The sequence below is a fragment of the Homo sapiens genome, chromosome 1 (genome assembly GCF_000001405.40).
Source record: "Homo sapiens chromosome 1, GRCh38.p14 Primary Assembly".
In the NCBI taxonomy this organism is placed as follows: domain Eukaryota; kingdom Metazoa; phylum Chordata; class Mammalia; order Primates; family Hominidae; genus Homo; species Homo sapiens.
In genome coordinates, this window is record NC_000001.11 from 18629739 (window position 1) to 18656050 (window position 26312).

The 26312-nt window shown below is 54.4% G+C and overlaps 1 protein-coding gene across 3 annotated transcripts in view, besides 18 other annotated features; it reads left to right on the plus strand.

Annotated features, from left to right (window-relative positions):
• Positions 792 to 1577: a promoter, noted in NCBI's record as "BamHI/NaeI fragment spanning -403 to +373". NCBI's record gives the evidence for it as "EXISTENCE:reporter gene assay evidence [ECO:0000049][PMID:12234688]".
• Positions 792 to 1891: a biological region, named in NCBI's record as "PAX7 promoter region". NCBI's record gives its function as "regulatory_interactions: PAX7".
• Positions 981 to 1891: a promoter, noted in NCBI's record as "-781 promoter fragment". NCBI's record gives the evidence for it as "EXISTENCE:reporter gene assay evidence [ECO:0000049][PMID:10839462]".
• The window catches only part of PAX7 (paired box 7), a 118021-nt gene continuing 92816 nt past the window's right edge, over positions 1108 to 26312 (plus strand). For 2 of the 3 annotated variants that reach the window (NM_001135254.2, NM_002584.3), the window contains exons 1-4: positions 1108 to 1950; positions 4565 to 4800; positions 5373 to 5502; positions 6499 to 6633. In NM_001135254.2, coding sequence (NP_001128726.1) covers positions 1866 to 1950; positions 4565 to 4800; positions 5373 to 5502; positions 6499 to 6633 — 586 coding nt within the window. In that variant the 5' untranslated portion in view covers positions 1108 to 1865. The remainder of the gene's footprint in view (positions 1951 to 4564; positions 4801 to 5372; positions 5503 to 6498; positions 6634 to 26312) is intronic. The other variant, NM_013945.3, reaches the window with a different exon arrangement.
• Positions 1615 to 1891: a promoter, noted in NCBI's record as "-149 promoter fragment". NCBI's record gives its function as "minimal promoter in A673 cells" and the evidence as "EXISTENCE:reporter gene assay evidence [ECO:0000049][PMID:10839462]".
• Positions 2431 to 3944: an enhancer, noted in NCBI's record as "NRF1 and E2F4 HCT region in PAX7 intron, chr1:18831250-18832763 amplified region (NCBI36/hg18 genome assembly coordinates)". NCBI's record gives its function as "activates a Hsp68 promoter in transgenic mouse embryos {active_cell/tissue: diencephalon}" and the evidence as "EXISTENCE:transgenic organism evidence [ECO:0001131][PMID:20363979]".
• Positions 2431 to 4052: a biological region, named in NCBI's record as "PAX7 intron homotypic clusters of transcription factor binding sites enhancer".
• Positions 2439 to 4052: an enhancer, noted in NCBI's record as "VISTA enhancer hs1702". NCBI's record gives its function as "enhancer in: midbrain (mesencephalon)[6/8]" and the evidence as "EXISTENCE:transgenic organism evidence [ECO:0001131][PMID:17130149]".
• Positions 2951 to 3191: a conserved region, noted in NCBI's record as "conserved region; HCT with multiple NRF1 binding motifs". NCBI's record gives the evidence for it as "EXISTENCE:sequence alignment evidence [ECO:0000200][PMID:20363979]".
• Positions 3119 to 3322: a conserved region, noted in NCBI's record as "conserved region; HCT with multiple E2F4 binding motifs". NCBI's record gives the evidence for it as "EXISTENCE:sequence alignment evidence [ECO:0000200][PMID:20363979]".
• Positions 3449 to 3984: an enhancer, noted in NCBI's record as "H3K4me1 hESC enhancer chr1:18959681-18960216 (GRCh37/hg19 assembly coordinates)". NCBI's record gives its function as "activates a minimal SCP1, AML or CMV promoter by ChIP-STARR-seq in primed H9 embryonic stem cells {active_cell/tissue: H9 hESC(primed)}" and the evidence as "EXISTENCE:reporter gene assay evidence [ECO:0000049][PMID:30033119]".
• Positions 6212 to 6829: an enhancer, noted in NCBI's record as "H3K4me1 hESC enhancer chr1:18962444-18963061 (GRCh37/hg19 assembly coordinates)". NCBI's record gives its function as "activates a minimal SCP1, AML or CMV promoter by ChIP-STARR-seq in naive H9 embryonic stem cells {active_cell/tissue: H9 hESC(naive)}" and the evidence as "EXISTENCE:reporter gene assay evidence [ECO:0000049][PMID:30033119]".
• Positions 6830 to 7446: an enhancer, noted in NCBI's record as "H3K4me1 hESC enhancer chr1:18963062-18963678 (GRCh37/hg19 assembly coordinates)". NCBI's record gives its function as "activates a minimal SCP1, AML or CMV promoter by ChIP-STARR-seq in primed H9 embryonic stem cells {active_cell/tissue: H9 hESC(primed)}" and the evidence as "EXISTENCE:reporter gene assay evidence [ECO:0000049][PMID:30033119]".
• Positions 7447 to 8064: an enhancer, noted in NCBI's record as "H3K4me1 hESC enhancer chr1:18963679-18964296 (GRCh37/hg19 assembly coordinates)". NCBI's record gives its function as "activates a minimal SCP1, AML or CMV promoter by ChIP-STARR-seq in primed H9 embryonic stem cells {active_cell/tissue: H9 hESC(primed)}" and the evidence as "EXISTENCE:reporter gene assay evidence [ECO:0000049][PMID:30033119]".
• Positions 11213 to 11734: an enhancer, noted in NCBI's record as "H3K4me1 hESC enhancer chr1:18967445-18967966 (GRCh37/hg19 assembly coordinates)". NCBI's record gives its function as "activates a minimal SCP1, AML or CMV promoter by ChIP-STARR-seq in primed H9 embryonic stem cells {active_cell/tissue: H9 hESC(primed)}" and the evidence as "EXISTENCE:reporter gene assay evidence [ECO:0000049][PMID:30033119]".
• Positions 19793 to 20422: an enhancer, noted in NCBI's record as "NANOG-H3K27ac-H3K4me1 hESC enhancer chr1:18976025-18976654 (GRCh37/hg19 assembly coordinates)". NCBI's record gives its function as "activates a minimal SCP1, AML or CMV promoter by ChIP-STARR-seq in naive H9 embryonic stem cells {active_cell/tissue: H9 hESC(naive)}" and the evidence as "EXISTENCE:reporter gene assay evidence [ECO:0000049][PMID:30033119]".
• Positions 21865 to 22654: an enhancer, noted in NCBI's record as "OCT4-NANOG-H3K4me1 hESC enhancer chr1:18978097-18978886 (GRCh37/hg19 assembly coordinates)". NCBI's record gives its function as "activates a minimal SCP1, AML or CMV promoter by ChIP-STARR-seq in naive H9 embryonic stem cells {active_cell/tissue: H9 hESC(naive)}" and the evidence as "EXISTENCE:reporter gene assay evidence [ECO:0000049][PMID:30033119]".
• Positions 23637 to 23793: a silencer, noted in NCBI's record as "fragment chr1:18979869-18980025 (GRCh37/hg19 assembly coordinates)". NCBI's record gives its function as "represses an EF-1alpha promoter that drives an FKBP-Casp9 reporter gene in an ReSE screen in HepG2 liver carcinoma cells {active_cell/tissue: HepG2}" and the evidence as "EXISTENCE:reporter gene assay evidence [ECO:0000049][PMID:32094911]".
• Positions 24237 to 24531: a silencer, noted in NCBI's record as "tiled region #1855; K562 Repressive non-DNase unmatched - State 20:ReprD". NCBI's record gives its function as "represses a minimal TATA promoter and a strong SV40 promoter by Sharpr-MPRA in K562 cells {active_cell/tissue: K562}" and the evidence as "EXISTENCE:reporter gene assay evidence [ECO:0000049][PMID:27701403]".

A 26312-nucleotide genomic window follows, 5' to 3' on the forward strand; every position in this document is an offset into this window, starting at 1 on the left:
GCCAGAGACGCTCTTTCCCCCGGGAGACAAAAGGCCTGCAGTTGTGGCGTCCTGCCCCGCTGGGAGGGCGTTTCGCCCCCAGGACTCGGTGTCCCGAGGTTGAGGCTACTGGTCACCCTGGCTTCAGAAAGCGAAGAATTCAGGAACCTCTGATCACCCCACCCTGACTCCTGATCATTCAGTTGGGGCGTCCCCTCAAACCCACCAGCAAGGAGCTCAGAGTTGGTGAGTTCAGAGCTGTATCAAGTCTTGACGGGCTCCCTCCCTCCCATTTCCCACCTCTTTGGGCCCCCAGATCCTCACACCAGCACCAACTCCCTGTAAACCCAACTACCTGCTGGAAAGGAGTTATAGGCCCGGCCTGGGGGCCTGAGGAGGACGGCGGCGGCTGGAGACGTCTGCACGGGGCGGAACTGGAAGGGGAGGAAGAAACCTGTGCCTAGCACTTGGCAGACCCACTTTGCCAAGCCTCGGAACCAGATACGGTTACTGGGGGCTTCTCAGAGCGGCAGGAAGGTAGAGTAAGAACCGGACACCGGGGCTCTGACATTACACAGAAAAGGTCAGAATTCCTCCCTTCAAGTCACCCTAGGCCGGTTCCCGGGGAGCCTCACTGGAGGAATTTCAGAGGGTGTAAGACGAGGGAGAAGATGAGAAATAGGGCGGACTCTGGCCCTCGGAGGCCAGAGAAAAGGCGAGACTCCAGAGAGGCGCCGGACCCGAGGCAGACATTCCCATACAGCCGGGACTCCGAGAGCAGCCGTGGGCGACCTGGGGGCCGGGGACTCGGCGGATCCGGCCCATTCATCAAAGGAAGGCACTGGGACAAAGTTGGCCCCCTCCCCTTCTCCCCCAGCCCCCAACTCGCCGGGATCGGCTCCCTCTCTTTTCACGGCGGTTCAAATTCTCCCCCAAAACGAGGTCGAGCCGGGGATTAGAAAAGAGGGAAAAAAATATTCGTTGGCGATTTCTTTTCGTTATTGGTCCTCCGCTCCCTTGCGCCCTGGCCCCCTTCCCTCCTCATGAATAAAAGAAAAGTCCGAACCTATCAGATCGCGCTCACTGCCTCCTCCTCCTCCTCCTCCTCCTCCTCCTCGTACTTCGGTGAACACTTTTGCACAACTTACCCAGCTGATCACTCGCGCCCCCTCGCTTTTCCATTTCTCTTTCCCCAACCCCGTCACCCCCTGTCTCCTCCGTCCAGCCCTGAAACCCGAGGAGGCTCCTTCTTCCGTCTGTCCCCGGGTCTCCTAGGGGACGGGGCTGTGAAAGCTGGTGTGGAGGGAGAAGCGAGTGTGGTCCGGAGAAAGAAGGCGTGGAGAAGAGGGAGGGAGCGAGAGCGAGAGAATAAATATATAAATAAATACGAGAACGAAATCCACTCCGCAGTCTCCGGGCTCGGAAACTTTGGCCCCGAGCGCCAGAGCGCCAGAGCGCGAGAGCGCGGCGCTCGCCACTCTGAGGCTGGCGGCCTCGATTCCGGCCGCGTTCCCCCGGCCCCCCTCCGCCGCGGGGCCTGGTCTCCGGGTTCTGCCAGGCGCATCAGCCCGCACAACTTCTGGCCGAGGCCAGCCGGCAGAGGCGGACTTGGGGTTGGAGTGTTTGTTTGTTTGAACTTCCTCGTCGTCGCCACCTTCCCTCCCCCCAACCTCCACCCCACCTCACCCCCCTCCCCAGCTTCTGGACGCGTTTGACTGCAGCCAGGGGTGGGGGGTGGGGGTAGGGAGTGTGTGTGGAGGGGAGGGAGAAGAGGTTAAAAAAAAGAAGACGAAGAAGACGGAAAGAAAGAGATCGCAGCAGGGGTGAAGGGAGCGGACGGGAAGCGATTTTTGCCGACTTTGGATTCGTCCCCGGCGTGCGCAAGAATGGCGGCCCTTCCCGGCACGGTACCGAGAATGATGCGGCCGGCTCCGGGGCAGAACTACCCCCGCACGGGATTCCCTTTGGAAGGTAAGAACGCCCAGGCTGGCCTCGCCGCGACTCCGCCGCCCGGAACTCGGGGTCCTTGGAGAGGCTGCGGTCTCCAGGGGACGGTGGCGGCGCCGGCGATAGCAGAGGGATCCCGTTCTCTTCTGGGTCCCAGTCCGGGCGCGGAACCCAGGGAGTTTCTGGGACCCATACTTGTCCGCTTCTGCGTGGGTTTCACTGCCCGGCGGCCTTCGTTTCGCAGGTCGCTAGCTGCCGGTCTTTACCCGCAGGGCTGAAATTCTGGTAGATTTGGACTCCTAGTAAATATCAGGTCCTGGTGAATTTCAGCTCTTTCCACTATTTCCAGACACTTCTTCCCTGACAGTTTCTCGGCTCTCCTGGCTCGCTGGCTGCCAGCTTTCTACTCTTGTTTTGAATTATTTTTTCCACCCCCGGGATTGGTCTTCCAGTCCTTTATTTCGAACCACCTACCATGGGTGATACTTTATATGCCTCAACTACCACGGCTATCCATTTCTTCCGAAGCCACAGTCAAACACTCCTGCTTTTCCGCCTGGAAACAAACTAATTGGAAATAATAATTAGTAATGATTTTCCCCCTAAAACTTTTTACTCGGGCTTCCGCACTCTGGAAATCTCCCGGGAGAGAACCTCTAAACGGCGAGGTTTAGAGAACCTCTAAACGGCGAGAGGGGCACGGCAATGTCCAAACGAGAAGAAAGAGCTGATTTTGTAAAGCGTCCTTCCTAAACATCCAGCGCCCGCCCGGGGAGACCCGATAGGACGGGCGGCGGCGAACCGGGTCCTGGCTGGAGAAAAGGCTGGGAGCGCACAGCGGAGAGACCCGCTCCTGTGTTTTTGTTCTGTTTTCTTTTTAAACTAATGGAAGGCCTCAACCTGTCACTGAGGGATCATTTGGCTTCTGAGGGTAGGTAGCCTAGGGTGTCACAGAGAAGTCATTAGAAATATGTGCGACTTTTTTTTTTTAAATTACTCTTCCTGTGATCGTTTGAGTCCCTGGCGCGTGAGGAAGGGGAGAGGAGGCAGGGAGGGGGTGGGTGGGCTGGCAGCCTGCGATCCGGGAGGAGCTCCCTTGGGCAGCGAGACGGCGCCGGGTCCCTGAATTAGACAGAGGCGAAGAGAGCGGCTCCGTGATCAAGTGCGCGCCGGCAGCCACGCAGGCGGGAGAGCGCGCAAACCCGGGGATTTGCAGTGGCACTCTCCTGTAGCGAATGCAAGTAAAACAGGCGGCTGAGGACGCGCGGCGGATTAGAACAATATTTGCCCAACATGACGCAGAATACTGAGGAGAGCCGAGTGCCGGTCGCTAAAGAGGCTCTTGAATATAAAGTTGGGCGCTCGAGAGCTCTTGAGCGCTAATGGCATATCCCGCCACGGAGACCGAGTGACTCCGACTTTGCGACGCACGATTTCTGATTAAATCCGAGAGTGGCTTCAGACACCGACTTTTACAAAGAGAGGTGGGGGGACCGGGAGAGCGAGGGAGGGGGCGGTAGGAACGGCCCAGCAGCGGAGCCTCTTCTCGCCTCCTCCCTTTCAATTACAGTCAGCTCCCTCCACTCCCGCGGCTGTGAAATCGTTCTAATCTTCCAGATCTCCGCAGCCGCTGAGTCCCCAAATTGGGGGGATCGAGGCCGGATTAGTGCGCTGGGTGTCCCCCCAATCTTCTGTGAGGAAATTGTGTAGACTTTGCATTAAGGCAACCAGGCGTTCTCCCCTCCCCAGCACACACCAGTGATGCCTGTCTTCCCGGTTCCCAAAGTCACCCCCACCCGGGGGGACTGTGTCCCATCTGCCTACCAGCCTCGCAGAGCCTGCAGGCACAGTTCATGGATTTGTGAGGCCAAGTCGACTATTTAATTTAGGAGCTTTGGGGCAGTAGTGTCCTAAAATTGTCCCAAAACGAAATTAGGACTTCGAGGGTGGTTAGAAGCAAGGAGAGTCACCCAAGGGACAACCAGGTGCCCTTGGAGGCAGCAGCCAACAGCATATGTCACCCGTCCCTCGGCTGTGCCTCAGCTGTTCCCTGGGACAGTTCCACGGCTCTAGCCAGAGCTGTAAATGTAGTAATCAGCCAGGCCTTTCTAGCCCCCAACAAACTGGATCATTCATGACTACCAGGAGCGTAGAACTGAGCAGATGAGCCACATCACACCCGTTATTGGCCTCTCCAAGACGCAGGCAGGCCTGCAGCCCAAGCTTCGGCCTGAGGGACAGATAGTCATTGGTCCCAAGATCTCTAAGGCTCTACCAGCCTGGTGGCTCTGTCTGCAGTCTCATCTTCATCTCTCTCCCTCCCCTTCTTAGCAGCATTCGAATCCCCCAGGTGTGTCCTCATCCCTCGTAGTGTGGCAGGAGTTGGGGGACACAGCATCTGGGGAGACTCTTGCAGCTGTGACTCCTCTATCCATCTCTGCAGGAGATTTCCTAGATTTATGACAGTTGTTTCTCAAACTACCTACCTACCGAAGCCCCAGTGTGAGGACCACCGGGATTGCTGTCTGAGGTCTTGGGGCTCAAACAAACAAAACTGGAGTCAGGGAGTGTACTCAGTGTCTGCTCTCCATCCTCACCCTGCACCTCTCTCCTTCTGCATCTCCCCTCCCTTCTCCAGTGTCCACCCCGCTTGGCCAAGGCCGGGTCAATCAGCTGGGAGGGGTCTTCATCAATGGGCGACCCCTGCCTAACCACATCCGCCACAAGATAGTGGAGATGGCCCACCATGGCATCCGGCCCTGTGTCATCTCCCGACAGCTGCGTGTCTCCCACGGCTGCGTCTCCAAGATTCTTTGCCGCTACCAGGAGACCGGGTCCATCCGGCCTGGGGCCATCGGCGGCAGCAAGCCCAGAGTGAGTGTCTTTGCCACAGAGGCTGGCAGCTGGCTTCCTATAGTCGGGGGCTCCTGGTTGTGGCCCCTCTTACTACCTCGTGGCACCAGGCTGTAGGAAAGTACAGCTGGAGGGTGTCTTCTACTCCCAGATGTCCTCCCATTGTTTTCCTATTATTTGAATTTCTCAGAGATGGAGCTAAGTGAGGTCTAGGTTGTGCAAGACCTTGAGGCCAATGAGCCATTCCTGGACTGTCCCCACATTTGCCTCAACCCCTGTCACCTTCCAAGACCAGAAGACATCTTCTCTCAGTCTTTCCTGAGATAATGACGGGGACCCTGGGGGTCCTAATTAGAGTTTTTTATTGCCTATCCATGTCCCACCCCACCCCACCTGGCCAGACCCCCAGCTGCCTTCCTGGGAGCCAGGAACCGGTTTCTTGAAAGGATAAAGCCAATCTCTTGGGGGATGGGGGGACACAAGGTAACCAGAACCACCAGCCTGGTCTGGGGCTCTTAAGAGGTGATATTAAAAGTATTTTCCTCCCCCCATCCCATCTTTCCACTCCTACTCTCCCACCTCCACCTCTGAAGCAGGTGGCGACTCCGGATGTAGAGAAAAAGATTGAGGAGTACAAGAGGGAAAACCCAGGCATGTTCAGCTGGGAGATCCGGGACAGGCTGCTGAAGGATGGGCACTGTGACCGAAGCACTGTGCCCTCAGGTGAGAAGGCAGCTGAGCCGGCAGAGCTGGCCCAGAGTGTGGCCAGGGGTCCAGTGTGGAGGGCTGGAGGTGGGAGAGAGGGGAGAGGAGATGATGGCTGACTGTGAACTTACTGAGAAGTTGGGAGGAAAGGAGTACAGAAAGGCAGAGTTAAGGCATAGGAGTAAATCAAAACAGAATGGAATAAGATGGAAAGAAGGAATAGGGAAAGAAAAAAAGTTAAGAAAGGAGAGAGAAATAAGAAAGGGAGGAAGAAGGAAGGAAGGAAGGTAGGAAGGAAGGAAGGAAAGAAGGAAGGAAGGAAGGAAAGCAGGCAGGCAGGTGGGCAGGCAGGAATGGGCAAAAAGTTAACCTAGAAAGCTGGATGATAAGAGAGCCCCCCTGGAGGCTTTTTCGGAGAAAATGGCTTCAATAGATGGATCTGTCCTAGGAGGGTGGATGCCCATGGGCTTCCCTAGACCACCGTCTCAGAGTTATGATTTCTGCTGTCGCCAACACCAGCCATTTGAGTCCTAAATTTGGAGGTCCCAAACCATACTGCCTGTGAGAGAGAAAGTGATCTGTTGTGTGTGTGTGTGTATGTGTGTGTGTGTGTGTACATGTGCATTCAGGCACGCAGGGCCAGAATGCACACCTGAGTGTGGGAGTGGCAGCAGGAGCTGGAGAGACTCCAGAGAGGCCCTGGGACCTCTCGGGGGTGTGGGTGGAAGTGCACCTAGGCAGGTGTTAGTGTAAGGCACGAATGCATGCAAGCATCTGCATAGAAATGCACAGTCTAACCACCCTGTGAGTGCCCGGGGTGTGAGTCAGGCTTCTCCAAGTGGATGCTGGTTATGGAGTACGTGTCAATGCCTAAATGCCTGTGTGTGGAAGAGGGATGAATGGATATCTGTAAGGAAGCAGGGGGCTTCCTGACTTTCTCCCAGGGGCCCAGGCCACCGCTCGCTCCTCTGCTCCAACAACTTATACTTGCTCTTTTGCCTTTGAATTTCTGAGGTTTAGTGAGTTCGATTAGCCGCGTGCTCAGAATCAAGTTCGGGAAGAAAGAGGAGGAGGATGAAGCGGACAAGAAGGAGGACGACGGCGAAAAGAAGGCCAAACACAGCATCGACGGCATCCTGGGCGACAAAGGTAGGGAACTTCCCTGGGCTGCGAGGCCCCAGCCCGGGTTTTCCCACGCTCCGGTGTGCGGGCCAGTGGTTCGCTCCCGCCGCCGGAGCAGGCGACCAGAACTCCAGCGGAGAAACTCTCATGCTGCGGGGCAGCTGGGAGCCGCTCAGGCTTTGCCGACAGCGCCCCCTCGGTGCGCACCCCGGATGCCGGCTAGATGCGAAGCCCGCGCCTTCTTTGCGCTATGGAGGCCGGGCACGGACGGCCTGTGAGTCCCGGGAGAGCCCGGCTGCGGGGCTGCGCGCCTGGTCTACCCCAATACTGCGGGGAGTGCGTCCTCCCGGGCTGGCGTTTTGGCTGCTACTCTCGGCGTCGATCAATTATTTATAGGAAACTTGGGCAAGGGGGCGGGGGACGGGAGGGAGGGAGAGAGGAAGGAGGAGCCGGCCCGCGGCTCCCTAAATGAATTTGTTAACCAGACCCCCACACGCTCTCTAAACGGTCCCTTGAAACCCCGCCTGACAGTTGACTGACCGCTGCAATCAATAAAAATTAGCCAGGGCCGCCGCCTGACTCAGCCCCGCGTTGCCAGGGCGGACTGGGGGACAGAGAGTGCCTTCCTCTGTGGCGTGCGCCGGCAGGGCTGGGAGTGGAGGCCAAGTTCCCAGATGCCCAGGGTCGGAGGATCGCAGTGGGGGAGAGACCCAGGCTCCACACACCCTCTCCCCATTCTTAGCACGGCTTCCGCGGGCAGGCTGGAGTCTGAGTCCTGCGCCATGCTTTTTCTCAGGATCAGCTAAGGAGGGCGTTTAGTTTTCAAGCGCCCGGAAGCCCGGGAAAGGGGATTGTGCTTTTGTTTCTTGACGGGAGGAAGTTTCGAGAGAAGGAAGGGAAAGTTTTTCCTCATTACCCCCTCCCCTTCCTCATTGCCCTCATAATTCCCCTCCTAAGTCTCTTTGAGACTTGGTAAGTGCACGTTAAGGGGCGACAGGGAGAGAAACAGAAATGGAAGACCCAGAGTCACAAAGACTGACAGTTAAAGAAAAGGCCCCAAACACATACGCGGAGAGGCGGCAGGCTGAGGGAATCGGAAAGACAGTGGCCATGGGAACCCGCAGACTGATGGCTTTGGAAAAAGTGGCGAGTGCCCTGGAACCTGAAAGCTTGCAAAAAGCCAGTGTTGTTTCAGTCTCCCTTCAGAGGTTTCTCCCAGCACCCCTCTCCTCACGACCCAAGCACTCCTAGCCCAGGTCTCTCTCCAGTTCTCAGAAGACCCTCCCAACCTTGAAGATGAACTTCACAGACAAAGCCGGCTTACTAAGACAACTCCCATCTACGCCCAGCCCCCACAGGCGTGGTCCGAGGAGGAAGGATGGGTGGCCGGGCAGCCCCGTGTGACAGCGGCCTGGAGCGAAGGGAAGGGGCGGCCATTGACAGACAGGGCCCCTAGTGATGCCGCAGTCCCGCCCGGGACAAAAGGGCGAGGGAAGAAAGGGAGCCAGCTGTGCCGGGCGCCCCGCTGTGCCCGGCCTGCCGAGGGGCCACGGGTCTGCGGCGGGAGGCAGCCCTGCACTGCCAAGCGGTCCTTGGCTAGGCCAGTCGGCCCAGAGCCCTGGGACACCTGCCGGGGGACCCAGTCCTTATTTCAGTTCCCATTGGAAGGAGACTAGATGGACTTTTTGTGGGTTGTGGAGGGGAGGCATAGAACTCGAATAATCTTTCCTGGACAAATAATCTTTCCTGCACAACAAACAACTCTTCTGAGGTTATCCCAGGGAGAAGCAGAGGAGGTTTGGTTTTCCTTGGAGAGACTTTAATTGTGTTTGCACGCAGGGAGTATATCCAGTTCAATCTGTGAGGAAGCACAAATAGGTAAATTTCCTCTGAGAAAAAAGGGAAGGGAAGGAAAGGAAGAGGATGGAAAGATCGTGCGGTTTGGAGGATTCCTCTGATTCCAGGGAATGCGGGGCGTTCCATGCTGGCCTGTGCTCACCACACCAGCTAACAAGCCACTTTGCTGGATAGAGGTTTTCCCTGCAGCAGAACCAGGAAGAACCACGTCTCCAAGGGTTTAAAGTGGAGCCTGTGCCAGATGGGGGAGGCTGAGGACACAGGTGCTAAGTCTAGAGGAGCTGAAGAAATGAAATGATCTTATGCAGTGAGCCTGGTCTCCAGAAAGTCCCGCAGTTTTTGCGTGACAGTGGGTGTGCTGGGTGCGCTGATTGTGCTTTGAATGGCTGTGTAAGCGCAAGCATCTCTTAGTGTGACTGTTTACCCACGGGCCTTCTGATCTGAATGCTGTAGGCCATATATCTGTGCAAATGGGATTCAGCATAGATGTGCAGGGAGTGTGTAGATGGGTGTGAATGGGCAATATGATGGTGCAGATGAGAGAGGGCCATCTATCCATCTGTGAGCAAATTGTATCCGTTTCCTATTTGAGTTCCTGGGCTGGTCGGCAGGCACCCCTGTGAACCCCTCATCTCTCTTCCAGGCCCCAGACATCAGTTTCATGTCCAAGTTAAAGGTGAAAAGACCTTCCAATCTCCATCCGAGTAATCCAGGTAGGGAGAGGCAGAGATGCCCCATGGCCAGAGCAGGGGGAGTTGTGCACACCCACAACTTTGTTTTGGCTTCTTGCTCTTGAAAAATGCTTTCTCTGGGGGAGTTGCCCCTCTCATGGCAGGGAGCCACCAAAGAAGGGGTTTAAGAGCTCTCCTCTTTAAGCACTAAAGAGAGATCCCTCCCTGAGTCCGTTTTTTCCTATCGTCCGCTTGGCATTTAATAATGTTAAGACTTATTAGAGCTGGTAATGAAAACTGGGACTGCTGAATAGGAAACTGTGTTGGAGAGGGGTGTAATAGCTTCCAGGCATGGTAAGAAACTATTTATCCGCAATCAGTTCTCACTCTCAGAGTTTGAAGCACAAACGTTAAGTTGAAGGGTTTTAAAGCAGATTAAATTGAGCTTTTATTTCTGTGCACTTTCATCTCTGAACAGCTCACTCCTGCTCCCCTTGGGCTGATATTCATGAGGCTGTTCATATTTTTTTTTTTGCTCTTATCCTTGTTAAGACTGAGTTATTAGGATTGTTGGTGGTGAGTATTCTCAGACCGTTGCCGATAGGTGCTTGCCCCAGTCAAGCTTGGCTCACCTGGAAAGGGAAGTGGACAGTTCCTTGCCCCCATGCACTTAGACTCCCTCCTCTTCACCCCTTTCTCCGAGGATCAGGGGATAGACAGGCCGGGGACCCAACAGGGAGGGGATTTGAGGAGAGAAGAGAAAGGAAAAGATTTTCATAGAATCTGAGCTCAGAGAGATTCTTGTGGGGAATTTGATAGGGGTTTGCAATGGGTCAAACCGTTCCTCAGTGGGAGCTGAGGGAGTGAGTGTGAAGAAATAAGCAATAGTATAAAAAACAATAACAGCAGTGACAAACAATAAGAACACCAAAGCCGCATGCATCTGACAGTGCACCAGTTTAAGCCAAAACTGACCGGATCAGACCAGGGGCTCCGCTTTGTTCTCTAGGATGGAAAGGCCAATGAGGTTACAATTAATATGAAATATAGGGAAAAGTTACAAGATTAGAAAAAAGAAGTAGTAGTAGTGGAGGTAGCATTTTTCTCCAGGGGACGGGGCGGGGGGGAAATCCTGGGGGTGTCAAAGTCCAGGTGGAGAATTTGCAGACTTCCTGGGTGTGAAAGACCATCTGAGGTGGGGGGAGGATTGGCGAGGACGGCGAGTGAGGCAGATTTGTTTCTCTTTGTATTTTTCCTTTATTTATTTTTAAGGCAGCAAACTTACAGGTGTGGAGTGGGAAATGACGGGGAAGGATCGGAAAGGAGGGGAGAGCCCGGAGTGTCGGTTTTAGACACTTGTAAAAGGAGGTGGGAAACAATTTAATTTGGCAGCAGCGATAGCTGCTAATGCGGTTTTCGGTCGTTTGCTACACTGGAGGAAGCTGTTTTGATTGTGTGTACAAGGACCTGCCAAATTTAATTAGGCTCCGGGGGAGCGAGTGAATAGGGGAAGGGGGGCACGGCTCCCCTCAGCCCACACCATTTTTTCGGCTTCACACCTGGAAGGGACATTGTTTACGGGATCTTCGAAAACCAGGAAGGGGCGGGGGCGGAGAGGGACAGGAGCCTTGGAAGCGGGGGCGAGGGAGGGGACGAGGATAGTCCATTTATCACGAAACAATCTGCATTGATTTAAACCAACAAGTTCCCTCCTCTGTAAATGTGTGTTTAGAGAAAGGTAATTGACACTCCACCAAATCAAAGGATTACCCCGGGTTGGCAATCTAATCAAACAGAGTCCAGGCGGGATTTGAAGCTGTTCAGAGTGGGATCAGCTTCGCATAATGGGGGCTCGGAGGAAGATGGGAGGGTGTCAGGCAATTCCCGGCTTTAGGCAGCGCTCGGCGGTGGATATCCAGTGCGACCAGAGGGAGAGAGGGAGGGGGCGCTGGAGGGGCGCGCCGGGCCGGGGGCTGGGGGGGATGGGGCGAGCGGAGAGGGGCGTGCGGAGCTGGGAACGTCCCGGCGGAGGGGGCTCCCGGCGGAGGGGGCTCCCGGCGAGGGGCCGAGCCCACACTGGGCTGACAAGGCTCCCCTTTTCTTCCCTCCATCCCCCCAACCGAAGAAGAGAGAGGGGGAGGCGGGAGCAGAGACTAACGAGAAACAACAATGAGGAGATAACTATTACAAAGGCAAACACTGGCGCTCGCGCGCTCGCAGCCCCAGAACCCGCGGTAAATAAACAAAGTCTGCAAACTGTTTGCTAGATAAACTCGTGCCTAAATTGAGTGTGACGAGCAAGGAGAGAAGAGACAGAAGGAGATAAGGTTGGAGGGGGATGAATGAGCATAATCTAATAGAAGACATTTAGAAAACAAACTTTAAACAAGGGAGAACAGGCGAGCGGAGGGCAATTATCCGCCCCAGAGAGCGGGGGAAGCCGTCGGAGGTCTGGGAAGGGGTGGAAGGGAGGGGACTGGGAGCTGCGGAAGAGCTGAGTGTTGGGGGGTGCCTTTGGGACTCCGTGGGGAGCCAAGAGGGGCTCCCCAGGGCGCGCAAGAAAAGAGGCTCGGTTCCCGGATTGAGTGAGGTTCCCGTGCTCAGCCGGTCTTGGAACGCAGGCACGTCTGAACCGGGTGGGGTCCCCCGCTGCGAGGGCGTGCGGGTTTTGTGTTCCCCTCGGGGCACGCACCGCCACACTTGGGCTGTTTCAAGGCGTTTGTACCTAAAAGACTAGTGTGCACGGCGCAGCGGTTAAAGGAATTAGATATTTACCAGTTTGAAATAAGCCTGGCTAAGAAGAAGAGAGAAGAGAGACATTGAAAAGACGAGGCTGGGGGAAGACTTCAAACGAATTCATCATTTGGAATGGTGGAGGGGAGATTTACCAGACAGTATTGGGAAGTTATTTAGATATTAATAACACATTTTCCTGAGGCGCGACCACAGCAGCCATCTGCGCTGCTCTCGGAGCTATTTGGCTGGGTAAAATATGGGCGTCTCAAATGTTGGGAAGAGATAACGCAATCAGGCTAACCCTGGTCCTGAGACTGCATCGCAGCGTTAAACCCGGATTAACCTCCCCCCCCCCAACTCCCGCGGCCCCCTCCCCTTTCACAGCTTTCCAAATTTTCAGTGGAATTTACATGGAAGGATTTAAAAGCACATATAACAGTAGCCTTAAAGCAGTAAGGTGATTATTTGGGCTTTTTTTTTTAAGAATGTCTTTCTGAAAATGATAGTTGTCACACATTACATTATATATAAATAATATTATATAAAACATATTTTTATATAGGAAAAGAGGGCTGAGCAAATGAGATTTCATTCCAGGTTACCTCTTTGGAGTTTCTATTTGCCATCATTCTATCACCATCAACAAAGTTGATGAGGCTTCATTCTGTACTGTGAGGCAAGAGCACCTAAGGATATAAACATGTAATGTACAAGGTCCTGGCCGTGGCCCTGGAAGCTCATAGTCTAAGACTAGACAGAACTCACACCCCTGAAAAGACAATGCCTGGTTGAGGGAAGGGTTCCTGCACAGAGGAGAGACCCCCAAAGAAAGGTTCTCTAGAGGCTCTGGGGCCTTGAAGGCCATGACTAAGGGGGGAGGACACATTCCAGAAATTCCAGAAAAATAGCTCTTCTCTCCCTCCCATTGCAGACTAAAGGGGTAATTAGCAAACAGGATGAGGGTTAGAGGCGCTGGGAAGATTAGGATGCCCCCCTCAGTTTTTGCTGTCCGGGGCCTTCCCTCTTCTTTTCCCCTTCCCCCAACTCTGGCTGAAAGAGGAAAAGGTGGAAATGGGGTCAGCGCTTTCTGACCTGCTCTGGAGCGATTGGCCCCGGCTGGGGTGGAGCAGGGGGAGGGAGGGAGGGAACTCGCCTTCCCAAATCGAATCAAGGCAGAACGGTGACCTAAGGGGGAAACTTCGCCATTAGTAGATAGATGTCTCCAAAACTTCAAACGAAGTGGGGTGGGGGAGAGGTGAGGCGGGGAAGGAGTCCAGTGAGAGCGCAGGGGGAACTACCAGCATGGGAAGGGGAGGGGCCTGGAGGAGGAAGAGACGGGGTCGAGGGCAAAGGGGAGGCGGGGGCCAAAGGAAAGGGTGTGGGGAGGGGATGCGAAGGGAGGGGGTCGGCTGCACTTGGAACTTCAACCTCCTGGGAGAGGAAAAGCGTCTGCGGGTCGCTACAGCCTCGGGAGGGGTGAAGGGAAGTTGTGTGCGCCCCAAGTCCAGCTCAAAAGAGGCCCCGAGGGCATTCTAGGGCGCCTTGGGCACGCGTGCCAGGCCCCCGGTTTGGCAGCCGAGCTGAGCGAGGGTGGATTGCGAGGGGCACTGGGGCCGCCGCGGAGCTCTGCGTGTCGGCTGCCAGTGAATTGGCCGATTTCCCCAGTCTGAGGGTCAGCGAACGGACCTTTCCATGGCTTGGTCGCCCTGGTCCTGGAGGTGCGCTGGGCCCGAGCTCCGGTGGAGACCAAGGGAGGGGTGGGGAGAGGCAGCGGAGACAGAGAGCCACAGAGGAGGAGAGAGCTAGAAAATTCAGAGTGAGAAAGTCTGAGCGCAGCAGAAGAGAATCTTGCGCACAGTTTGAGGACGCTGGAAAATGCGGAGGCGCCGAGGGAGGCGCCGAGCAGCAGGAAGAAAGACAAAGAGATGCAGAATCACCGAGAGACTGGCCCTGGGACAGGCGGATCAGGAGAGCCAGCGGGACCTAGAGACAGCCCGCGGGAGAGCACGGGCCGAGAGGGCGAGTGCTCAAAGCCGGGCAGCGGCTAGGGGAAGATAGGAGGCGGGCGAGCCGCGGCCGCCCTTTTGATCCTTCGTGGCTTCGCCTTATCAGAAGCGCTTTCGGTGACATCCGCACAAAGGCAGTTCATCATATTACAGCACGTCCCGGCGGCTCGCTGCGATCCTGCCGCTTAATTAGAGGCGAGCGAGCTGGGCCGGCAGGGCGGGAGGGAGGCCGACCCCGAGGCGGGAGGCCGGGTTCTGCGCTCCAACCCGGGGCGCTGGGCAGGGGCCAGCCCGCGTGCCTGGCGGTGTTGGGACGTGGAGAGAGGGAGAGGCCGGGAACTGCATTCAGAGCGTTGCTAAATTAACAGGCCGGCCCGGGCTTCACTGCCCGGAGAGTGAAGCTCGCCGCCTTCCAATTTAGCCGCCGCCCCTTCTAAGTTCTTGGGAAGGGATGGCGCTCCGGCCACTTTCCCCTCTTCCAGGCTGCGAACGCTGCGGACTGGAGGGCGAGTAATGGGGAGGCAACCCAGGGCGAGCTGAAGGCTTAGTGCAACTCCGGGTCCAGGTCGCACCCACCAGCCCCCCGCGGCTGTGTTCCATCCCCTCCTCCGACCGCCTTGCTCTCCATCCGAACCCAGGTGTGCCAGGCTGGAGCAATCTGAGAGGGGCAAAGTGCATCGTGGTCGAGGTTCTACTGTCCATCCCACCCGCAACTCACTAGCGATATCACTCTAGACAACCCATTCAACTTCTTTGGGCCTCAGTTTCCTTCCATGAAAAAAGAGAATTAGCTAAGACAAATGTTGTTATCCTTTTAGGGGATCCTGGATCCCTTTAAGAATAGGCTAAAACCGAAAAAATAATTCTAAAACCTTGCCATTTACATACTTATATACTTTCATACAGGCAGAATTTTTCATCTAGTATAAAGGGGTCTTTGGGGCTTCTAGAGGCCACACCCCATTCAGAACCTCACATCTGCGTGCTTCCTGATGACTTCAGTATTCTCCAGGGAGCTTCTGATTCCAGCATCAGGAAGCTCAAAATGAGGACATGGGGCGGAGGGGCACTGAGATCCTGCCCTTGGTCTGGTCCTTGCTGCTTCCTCCCCTCTCCAAAACAGAGCGGAGAGCTTCTCCTCCACCCCACTTGGTATTGGAAGGGTCCTTTGGGAAGTGTTTATATGCTGATATAAGCACGTGTACTATGCTCCCCCTTTTACCTATACCACCCAAAAGAGAAATTTTCCTCTGGAGTGTATGTGTGTGAATGTCTTCATTCATTCTGCAAAAATTTTTGGAGCACCTACTAGGTGCCAGGCGTTGTGTTAAGTGACCTCAAGAAGGTCCCTGCCCTCATGGAGTTCTGAGCCAGGCGGTGGAGACAGAAAATAAACAAGCCCGCAAATAAACAGATGTGTCTCGTTATGTGTTTGTTGTGTGTTTACCTGGATAGCTTTGTGGGCTTCCCTCTTCGCAAGACTGTCTTGTGTCTGGGTGTTTGTGAATGGTGTGTGAGTGTGTGTGCGCGCGCGCGCGTGCGTGCGCACGACAGCAGAGTGTGTTTGCGGGGCTGGGGCTGAATTTGGCAGCCAGCCCCCAAGCTGACCTCTGGAGTGGCCCGCGTCGGCGGGCTGGGCCTTGCTTCGCCACGGGTTCGAGGGAGAGGCGGAGGGAGGAGCGGCTGGGCTGCGGAGCCTCTTGCCTTCACTGCACTCTTTGTCTGACACCACGAAAAGACCGAAGATCAAAGAGGCCCCCGAGCGGGACAGAAAAAGGGGTGGGGCGGCGGGCGCGATAAGTAGCTCGGAAAACTCCACCCTAAACTTTTCTGGGTCCTTTCCATGGGACCCAGACCCTACAGAACCTCACCCAAGTGGGCGAGTGGGCGGCCGGCCGTGGGTTCTCTACAGTCCCAAGCCTCCGCGAGGGCGACAGGTGGAGAGGGACAGCTACGGCTGCGGGCTCCAATTCAGGCCGAGGTCTTTCGGTGACTGGAGAAGGTGGAGACAGAGCAACATTCAGAAGTTTTGTGAGGCGTGTGTGTGTTTGTGCGGTGTGTTCTGAACACTTTTGCAGGGAGATTGTGAGTCTGGATCAAGCCTCCTGGTTTCCTGAAAACTTGCCTTAAGTCTGCTCTGGCTTTACCTGGGCTGCAGACTTGGGAGTTGGAAGGAGTCAGGAGGAGTCCTAAGGAAGCTTCTGGAACCTCTTGTTCCCAGTGGAAGCCTGCAGAAGCACCTCCGTCTCCCGCACTTTCTTGTAACCACAGCCCTAACTCAGGAAGCTGGTCTCTAAGCCACCTGGCAAGGCGCTTTCCCCCGCCTCCCGCGGTCCTCACCCTGCAGCTCTCCTTCCCGCCTGGACTTCTTGAGTTCGAATTCACCCTTCCGAGGGTCTAAAAATATGGTAGAAAAATAAAGTCCAATGTGGGGGGATATACCCCATCCTCCATTCTCCTCCCTCCCGCTGCCTGCAAATGCCAAAATTCAAAATGCCCACCCGTTCTACCTTTTCCATGGGGGAAGATTCTGAATGATTGCAGAATCCCAGCATGTCCGGGATTTGTCGGAGGTCCTCGGAGTGAACCCTAAGAAAAGAGGCCTTGGAACTTTCTTTAATAAATGGGGCTGAACCTCCCTCTCTCTTCAAATTAGGTTCTGGTTGGGACTTTTTCTCTGGTGGCCTGGTGGCCCATACAGGGGACACAGAGAGGTTTGCCCAGAGCTGCCTGTTACAGGCAATTACTGCTGTAAATGGCCCCCTTTGCGTCGACCCTCTTCCCCAAAAACCCGGTCTTTTCCGTCTCGGCGGTACCTGAGCCTCAGTTTCCCTATCTGATTAGTGAGGATAAGAGCCGCTCCTGGCCTCCCCAGGCAGCAGGAAATTAGGGCCGGGAAAGCGGTTTGGAAACTGGTCAGCGGGTGCAGGCGGGCAGAGGGTGGGAGGCGTCAGGAGTTCGTCCTCCTCCCCGGGGCGCCCCCTCCCCGCCGCCCTCTCGGCACAGTCCCCGCTCGCGCCTCAATGGCCACTTTAGAAATACAAACAACTTTAGAAATAAAGTAACCAAACCCCCGAAAGCGGCTTTGAAGAGGCGAATGCCTGGTGGCGCTTTACTATGGTGTGGGCCGAGGCCCCGGCCTAATCCCGCTTTCATTTCCACCGACGGCCGCGGGGGAAGCGCTCCCGGCCTCCCGGCCCCTCAGGAGGCTGATTAGGCCACAAAGAGCCCCCATTATCCCGAGAAGAAAACCGGGGGGCGGCGCGGGGCGGCGCGGCGCGGGGGGAGCGGCCCGCCCGCGCCCGGGCTATTGACTTAGTGGATGAAGTCAAGAGCGGGCACGCTGGGAGCCCGGGGGTGGGGTGGGGGGGAGGGCTGGGGCCTTGGGCGGGGATCCCGGAGGTGGGGTGGGGGAAGGGCTGGAGGGGGAGGGGCGACCCGCGCGGGAAGGGGCGGGGGACGGAACAAAACAGAACGCACAAAACCCACAACAAAACCGAGCTCCGGGCGAGGGGAGCCGGGCCCTGGTGCAGGGCCTCGTCTGCTGAGCTTGGCTGGGTCAGCTGCCCGCGCCGGCCAGCGGAGGGGAGGGGGGCAAAGGACCTGGGCTCCGCCGCCACTGCCGCCTGGGCTGGGTTGCTTACTTGGGACGGGGTGGTGGAGGAAAGGAGAAAGTTGCAGCCGTTGGACAGTCTGTCGCTAAGTGCTACATGGCTTGGGCACGCGGCTCTGTGGCTCAGGCTCTCTAGTCCTCCTCTGTGACCCCAGGGAGCTGGGTACAGAGGTCTCCAAAAGTCATCCCCGCTGTGGTGGCCTGCGAATCTGTGGTCACAGCTATAGTGGATGCTGTAGAGGAGATGCCTGAATTGGGCGGGGTGGGGGGGGAGAGGAGAAGGAGGCAGGAGATTGAAGGAGAAAGAGGAGGACCCTGGATTCTGAAAGATCTGGGTAATTTTGAGTGAAGCATTCTGAGATCCTAGATGTCCTCTTCTGCAAAATGGGTCCATGGACACAACCTCAAAGTAGGCTAGGAAGCGTAAATGCTATAATTACGTAAAGTACAGGGCAAACTGGGAGGCTGGAGAAATATCACTCCCCCATCCTCTCCTGCCTCCTCATTTCCTCCAAGGCTTCTTTCAGTCACTCCCCTATGACTTGAGAAATAATAGGGGCCTTGGAAGAAACGGGCTGTGAATCCATAAGTGATCACCAAATGTGGGCGCAGGTGGGGTGGGGGCAGATGCTCAGCCAAGTGCAAATAAATAGTATCCCTCCTGATCTACAGTTCTAGACAGAAGAAATAGACCTGCTCTGTGGGCAGCTCCTCATTCAGCAGAAGGTCAAGAGAAGAAGGTAGAAACGCACAGAGCCAGTTCCTGGAGCCCAGTAGACACTGTTCTGTGTGTGGAGGGACTTCCCTCCCCTGATGGCTTCTGTCCCCACAGGCAGAGGCTGGGCAGCCTTGACTGACAGGGTAGGGAGGTGTGGGTGAGTGCTCTGGTTTGAGGAGATGGTGAAAACATCCTCCAGGTATAAAGGAGGTAGGTGAGGGTATGTGACACAGGCTCCTACCTGACTGGCCCCCAGTCACCTCCCCTCCCCAACCACAGCTGTTTTCCCCACCCCCAGCCATCTCCCAGAAAAGGGGCCCTGACTCCAGTGATTTGGAAGTTCTTTGAAGGCAATGTCACTCTTCATCCATTCACTCTACTACTTTATTTTTGTCTTTTTTTTTTTTTTTTTTTGAGACTGGGTCTTGCTCTGTCACCCAGGCTGGAATGCAGTGGTGTGATCACTGCTCAGTGTAGCCACAACCTCCCAGGCTCAAGCGATTCTCTCACCTCTGCCTCCCGAGTAGCTGGGACTACAGGCACGCACCACCACACCTGGCTAGTTTTTGTGTCTTTTTGTAGAAACAGGATTTTGCCACGTTGCCTGGGCTGTTCTGGAACTCTTGGACTCAAGCGATCCTCCCATCTTGGCCTCCCAAAGTGCTGGGATTATAGTGATGAGCCGCCATGCCCAGCCATTCCACTACTATTTATCAAACCCTAGGTTGTGTGGGATGTGCTGGGGAGGATAACCCCCACTGCCGGTCCAGACTCATCAAAGGCTAAGTTAAGGAGGTAGGACTTATTCCAAGGGCAGCGGGGAGCCATGGAGGATATTTCAGTAGGGGACTGATGGATTCACCGAGCCGAGAATGTACCGGAAGATGTGGAGATACCAGCTAGGAGGTCAAGGCTGTGGGAAAGGAGCAGAGAGGTGCAGAGGGGCTGGAGAGCAGAGGATGCAAGGAGACATGGTTAGGAGAGGACTGCCCCAGCTGGAGGTGGAAGAGGAGGAAAGCAGCCCATTCCCAGACTCCCGCCACTGATGCCCAAGGGTACTGAGCCCGTGACTGGCTGCTAGGTTCATTCAAGGGAACTTGGAATTCCTCTGCAGGCTGAGATTACAAAGGGTGGAGTCAGACTCAAACAGGCCTTAGAGGTCATCTGGCCATTTTACAGATGGAAAAGCTCAGGTCCAGAGGGAGTGACATGAGTGAGGCCAATGGAGGGGAAGGCCACTCTGGTCTGCTGACAGTTATGTGCGGGTACAGGAGCAAAACGGACTGGTGGAAGCTTTGCTCCCAGGAATTAGGAAGGCATGGGATAAGGACAGCCATGGGAATGAGGCCTTTCCCCATGCTGGCAGTTCATCGCCCTTCGTGTTTAATGTGACACATGCCTTAAAGTTCTGATTCACAGAGGGGGAGACTGAGGCACAGAGAGTTGATTAGCCCAAGGAAGTAAGGGGAGGAGGGTCCCCTTCTAACAGGCTCTGCAGGACTCTGACACCTTTGCCCTAAGAAGCCTGAAGGGCAGCAAGAATCTCCTCTTCTTACCCCATCTGGACAATTGCAGCCCCCATCCCCCTCCCCCGTTCTTCATAAACCCCAGATTCTCAGGTCCAGGGGAGACTGTGGTTCAAGCCATTGCCACACCCACCCCACCCCGCTATCACCCACACTCCCAGCACCCATAAGCACCTACTGGGATCTCAAGCCCTGCTAGATGCCACAAACTTGGCCTGCTGAAGGGTTAGTCTGTCCACCATCCGGGGAACTGTCCTTTCAACAGCAAGGGAAAATAAAGCCCAGAGGGAAAAGAATCACAGATTGTGGTTAGGGTTGGAATTCAGATCCTCATGTAAATGGCCCCATGCAGAGGCCCTAGCCTGAGCACTAACTGCTGTGTCATTCTGGAAGAGCCGCTTCATGTCTCTGGCCCCTGGTCCTTTTGTCTGAACAATGGCAAGGCAGGATCCACCTAGTGGTTTTCAAACTGTGTTCCATGGAGTCCTGGGATTCTCAGCCTCAGGGGCCATCCTTTGAGCTGTAATACTCTGGGCGTGTGTTTAGTGGAGGGGAAGCAGTGAAAAAACAGCCTGTTTCCCCATGGATAGAGGAAACTCCGGGGAGGCAGGGCTTTGTCCTGGGAAGAGCAAGGACCACTTCCCATCCAAGGCTACTCTGGAGGAGGGTGAGGGGAAGAAGCTCTGTATACTCCTGGAATCAGAGCCCTCAGGCTGTGGTTATTGGTCTTCAGAGATAAGGTGATAACTGCTTATCTGGTGACAAATGATTATCCTCCTCTTCTATTCCTCTGATTAGGGAACTTTCTCTCCTGGCTGGGAGGTCTCTTTGGAAAAAGGGCAGGGCTGGTCAAGAGACACTGACATCTGCCTCTTCAGTCCCTGCCCGGCTTGCTGTGTGACCAGAAAGCAGTTACACACTCTGTGCTTCATTTTGGGGCCTGGTGGAGCAGCTGGCTTGCAATGCCATCCTGGGATGGTGCTGGAAGGAGGATTCAATGCAGCCTGTGGGGGATGGAAGGAGCAGGAGGGCAGAGGGCGGAGGACAGAGGGCTGTGCCCCGGAGTCACCCAGGTGCTTTTGCAAGACATACACACCTGGGTACTTTCTTGATTTGGGACATCTGAGTACAGTGGCTTTGGAGCAATCTGTCCCGATCATTCTGATGGCCTCCCCAGCAAGAGCCACTGGTCTCATGCAACACCTTTTTTTATAGATGGAGAAACTGAAGCCCAAAGAAGGGAAGAGAATTGTTACCTGTTGCATAGCAAACGGAGAGGAGTCAGAAGAGAGACCCAGTCCCCAAAGTATTATGCCAGGCACCATGAAGGGAACATTCTTCCAAAGTTTCTGGGTCCCTCAGCTTTTGTTACGGTCACCTGTCCCTACTGAGGGTCCCATCTGCCAGGGTACCATGCTGGGAACAATGGGGCTGGCAGGGCAAGACCTCTGCTTTGTCCTACTGTCCCCAACTCCTGCTTGTGCCATGGATGGTCTCCCAGACACTCACTGTCATCTCAGCTCTGGGCTCTGAGCCCTTATATCCACAGGCAGCTTCAGTGCACGGAAGGACCCCTGGACTTGGAATCAGTAAGACCCAGGTTCCTCCCCATTGCTGCCCCCACCATGTCCCCTGAGCTGTGGCTTCCCCTCTCTCAGCCTTAGTTTTCTCATCCAGACAATGGGAGCAAATGAATTAAAACACAGAAAAGCTATGTGGCACATAGGAAGTACATGCTTAAAATGAGATGAAAGACCTGAAAGTGATTTGTGTGAAATACATGATCCCTAAAAGTCTATATGCTGAGAATTTCCCAAGTCAAAAGCGCATTGTCTCATCGGTGGCTCTAAAATGTATATGCATATATTTTTATAGGTTTTTGAAAGATTTATTGCAAAAGTAATATGTACTTGTAAAATTTCGCATCGTAAAAAAGTATATAAAATAAAAATTAACAATCCTTCTCTATCCCTAGCAACAGCTTTGTTGAGTTGGGATATAACTGTCTAGATTTATACAGTGATATCTAGATACGTCTCTCTATCTAGATCTACCTATCCATCTATCTGTTCAGATGCAGATATATATTTGAAGGAAAGTGGTGTCACATCTGCTTAACTTGGGGGCAATAGAAGCTTCAAGGGGTGACTGTGAATCCGCAGAATTAATTTATCAGTGGTGGGTATGAGTCTGGAGAGAGATTCCGAGTGTTCCAGAGCTCAGGGTCCCCCAAAGGTTAAGCATCCTGAGTTGGAAGATTTGCAGGTGTTTGTCCTCTCAAAGTTCCGTCCCTCCCCAACACCCTCCCTCCAGGCTTCACAGTGCCACCCCTCCCCCTCTCCCCTCCCCGCCCCCCCCACCCCACCGCCTCTTCATGCACCTGCTGAGGCTTCCGGCCTCTGCTGCTTCAAAGAGGCAGGCTGGGCTTTACCTGCCTGCCTTGGAGAAAAGCAGCCTGGTTTGAAAGGGGAAGTGGCATTTCAGGCACTTAATTAGACCCGGGACAAGAATGGAAGTTGGCTCTCAGGTCAGGCCAGGGGGGATTGTTGGGGGATTAACACTCAGGTAAACCCATCAAGGCTCACCGGCCCCCTGGCAGGAGGCAGCAAGAGAATCCCGGGCAGCAGCGGAAAGGCTGGGCCGGCTGGGCCCACAGCCTGGGAATCACATTCCAGAGTGGGGTAGTGGGGGTGTGCAGAGCCGGTAGAGGGTGGGAGGGGAAGGGTGGGCCACTGGCTGCCTCCACCCTTAACCTCAACTGGCCCCCTTCTCTTCCCCGCCCCCCCATTGCCCCAGGAAGGTAGAGTTAGAACTACCATTTTATTCCTGCAGCAAAATGTATTGAGAACCCACTATGTGCCAGGCGCTATTCCTAGGAGCACAGCCAGCAATAGCGCAAGGTCCCGGCTGCACAGAGCTCACACACTGGGGGAAGAGCAGGTTCACCAATACGGAAAGGCTTTCAGAAGGTAGATAAGGGCTTGACAAATATAAAGCAGAATTGTGATAGAAAGGGACTGACAGAGGAGTGATGTTTATTAATAGTTGGGCTATCAGGGAGGCCTGCCACCAGAAGAGGTGATATTTGACCTGAAACCTGGATGGAAGGAAAGAGGTAACCATTTATGGAAAACATCTACTACTTAGGACAATGGCCAGTTGAGAGCTGACTGCATATGTGTTAAGTGCTTTACATTAATGAATTCATCAGATCCTCCCAAGAATACCTCAAAGGAGAGATTATTAATTAAGAAGCCCATTAGTAGATACAGAAATTGAGGCATACAGAGAGGTGCCTCAGCTCTTTGGGTCCAGATGGGCAGGGCCATCTCACTGGACACCTGTGCCCTCCCCTTGCCCACCTCTTGCTATGTGCCAGAAACTGAGCCAGGTGCTCTATACACCTCCCTTAACTCCCCAGCCATGCCCCGTGGGTATCTGTTTTCCCAGTTTTGTAGATGAAAGCACAGCTCAGAGAGGTTTACTCAGTTGCCTGGAGTCACACAGTCAACAAGTGGAGAGCCAGTCATTGAATCTGGTACCACAAACTCTTCCTGCTGCAACAGCTGTGCTTTTGCAGGCACTGACTTTGGAATACCCTCAGCTGATTCACAGGGTCCTTTGTCCTGGGGAATGGCCTTCCCTGTCTCCTTCAGGGAAAGGGTTTCATCCTTCAGGGAAGATTCATTGAATCAGGATTTGCTGGGTTTTTTTCATTTTTTTTTTTCATTTCTTTTTTTTTTACACGAATGGGCTTCCTGGCCCGCATTTTGATTTGCGCTTGGGTTTATGAATTGAGGAATCACAGTCAGCCTTGGGAATTAGTTGCAAGATAAATATTGCAATCCTGGTTAAGGACTTAAGAATTGTCACTTGTGTGTGTATATTGTTGTTGTTGTTGCAACGGTGCTGTGTACGCACGGTTACAGTGGATCAAATTTGGGGAGTTAGGAAGTGGCGTTGGTTTGTGGTTAGACTTGGGGGAGGTGTCGCTTTCGGTTGTTGGTGTGCTGGTGGCTGTGTTCCTGTGATATGGAATGTACTGTCTGAGAATGTGTTCAGGGGTCTGTGGTTATGTGGATATGGGTGTGTAGCTGCTGATGACATGGATGGAGGGATGTATCTGGGTGTGTTTCTGCAGAACAAGTGATACCTGTACCATGTGACTTTGTCAGTTCCACCATGTCCAGGCACAGGTCGGGGGGGTTGTCCATGGTTCTGAACGTATCTGCCCCCATTTTACAGATAGGAAACCAAGACTTAGAGAGGCCAAGTCATCTGCTTGAAGTCATCTAGCTGAGAAGCGGCTGAGCCTGAAGGGAAACCAGGGCTGCCTTCAGAGTCCAGCCTCTTTTCCCTGCTCCCCAGGAAAGGTTTTAGTAACAATAAAAGGTTTAAATGCCAGCAAAAGGTCTAAACGCCAGCGTCGGTCATGGGGCCTGGCAGACGTGTGTGCGGTCACATGCATGTCCCCATTCTCGTTCTGGTGTCTCAGCTCCTGCCCATTCTATGGGCCCCCAGCCCAGCCCTGTCGCAGGAGAGCCTTTCTTTCTCGGGACTGCAAATACGCCAAAGATGAACGCCGCCCGCAGCTGGCTGGCTGCAGCCCTGAACAATGGCAAGACCTAGGAAGTGAAGAAATTGCCCGAGGAGCACAGCAGCCCAGTCCAGAGAGGCAGTTCACAGAGTCTGCCTGCTGGCTCTGGCTCGAATGCAGTGAGCCCTCCCCCCACCCGCCAGCTCCACACTCCTGGCTGAAAGGATAAACAGTCTGCAAAGAAATTTTCCCTAGAAAGAACACTTCGCTCAAGTGCAAGTCCACCACCTTAGACCAGTGATTAGGGGAGAGTTAAAGAAGGGGAGGGGTGTCCCCTCTCAGGGGGAAATATGCAATAAATAATCACAGGTGGGAGAGCGTGAAGTGGAGGGGCTGGAATCCCAGCTGCATGCTGAACCCAGCTCCAACACCGTTCTCCAGAATGGATGACAAAATGCAACACAGTAAAACAAATCTGGTGCTCATGTGCAATGCCTTCCTCCTTCCTAAATCTCCACTCACCCACTTCTTCCCAGCGAGTGGCAAGGTGGCAGGTGCCATCTGAGAACTATCTAGGGTAGCAGAGGAAAAAAACCACAACAGCGGGTGGGCTGCAAGGTAGCTTGTACAAATTTGCCAGGCCGTAATAATTAGAGATGAACAGAGCATGCTCACGTCCAGTTGGGAGGGAGCTCTGGAAAGCAAACTTGGAATTCTGGAGGATTTACCATGAGCTAGACACAGCTCCTTTAATCAGCACAGCCCTATGAACTTCACAGGTTTTACTAATCCCATTTTACAGATGAGGGAACTGAGGCTCAGTGAGGTAAAGTCACTTGCCTGAGATCACAGGGCTGAAGAAAGAGGCAAGAGGAAGCATTTGAATCCAGGCCTCTCAGGCTTTGGGCCTGGGGCCTCCTATCACCCCTGGGGTGGCAAGGGAGGAGCCGATCAAAGGAAGAACTAATCTTGCTTGGCACGTGCCTACAATGCCACCGTGATATTAGTTCCTGGGCCAGAACCATATATGCATTCCTTTAATTTGGGCATCATTGTTATCATTTAATTTTAACTCTGCTATTTTGTCTGGAGCTAGTCAGGTTTCACAAACTCCTTCCCAATTCATCTCATTACTGCAAAAAATAAAGACTGTTATTTTCAATGAAGACAATGTGACTCCTTTCCAGGGGCCAGAAGCTGGTCTCCCTGGATTCCAGTTTCCACGGTCAGAAACAAGGGCTGCGGCCGGTCCCAGCCCATGACTACAGAGCTTAGAAATGCAGGTGGCACGTCCCCTCCGTAGATGAAGCCACTTAATTACCATGCAATCAATATGCAAACAAGTGCCAAACTGGGTTTGAATCAAATTTCTCATTGGGGACTCAGTGGGGGAGGAAAGTCCAGCCGAAGGGGGCCAACCGGGATGAGCTGGCAGGGAGGGGGCTGCAGGATGAAGAGATGGGCTTCAGCTGGGACCCAGGCACCTGAGGGTTGCTCAGACACCCTCCACAGTCCCCAGTGTCTGGCACGGGGCCTCGCTCCCATTGAGGGGAGCCGGGGCCTGTGGCTCAGGGCTGCAGTCGGCGGGAGGGTTTCCAGGCCTGTCAGCTGAAGTCTGGCGGCCTCCGCTAATTCATTTGACTCGGAAATCTCAACTTGACCAGGTTCCCCCTCCCTTCTTTAAAACAAACTCATTAAACTTGTCAACACTCATTAGGCCTGTAAAACATTGAACTAGAGCCACTGGGGAGACTTGGAGAGGGTGTGTGTGTGTGTGTGTGTGTGTGTGTGTGTGTGTGTGTCTGGGAGTGTGTGCTCCAAAGCTGAACCAGGCCCTGGGAGACCCATCTCCTAGGCTTTGCAGGGGCAGAAGTCACATTCGTTTGTTCATCTACTTCCTTCCTTCCTGCATCTGTGTTTCATCAAAGGCGGAACAGCTTGGGGGTTTGCAGCATCAGACTTGAGCTGGAATCGGCCTTTACCCTCCTGGCACTCCAATGCAGCCCTCTCCTTAGCCTTGCCAGTGTATCAGTTTAACCCAT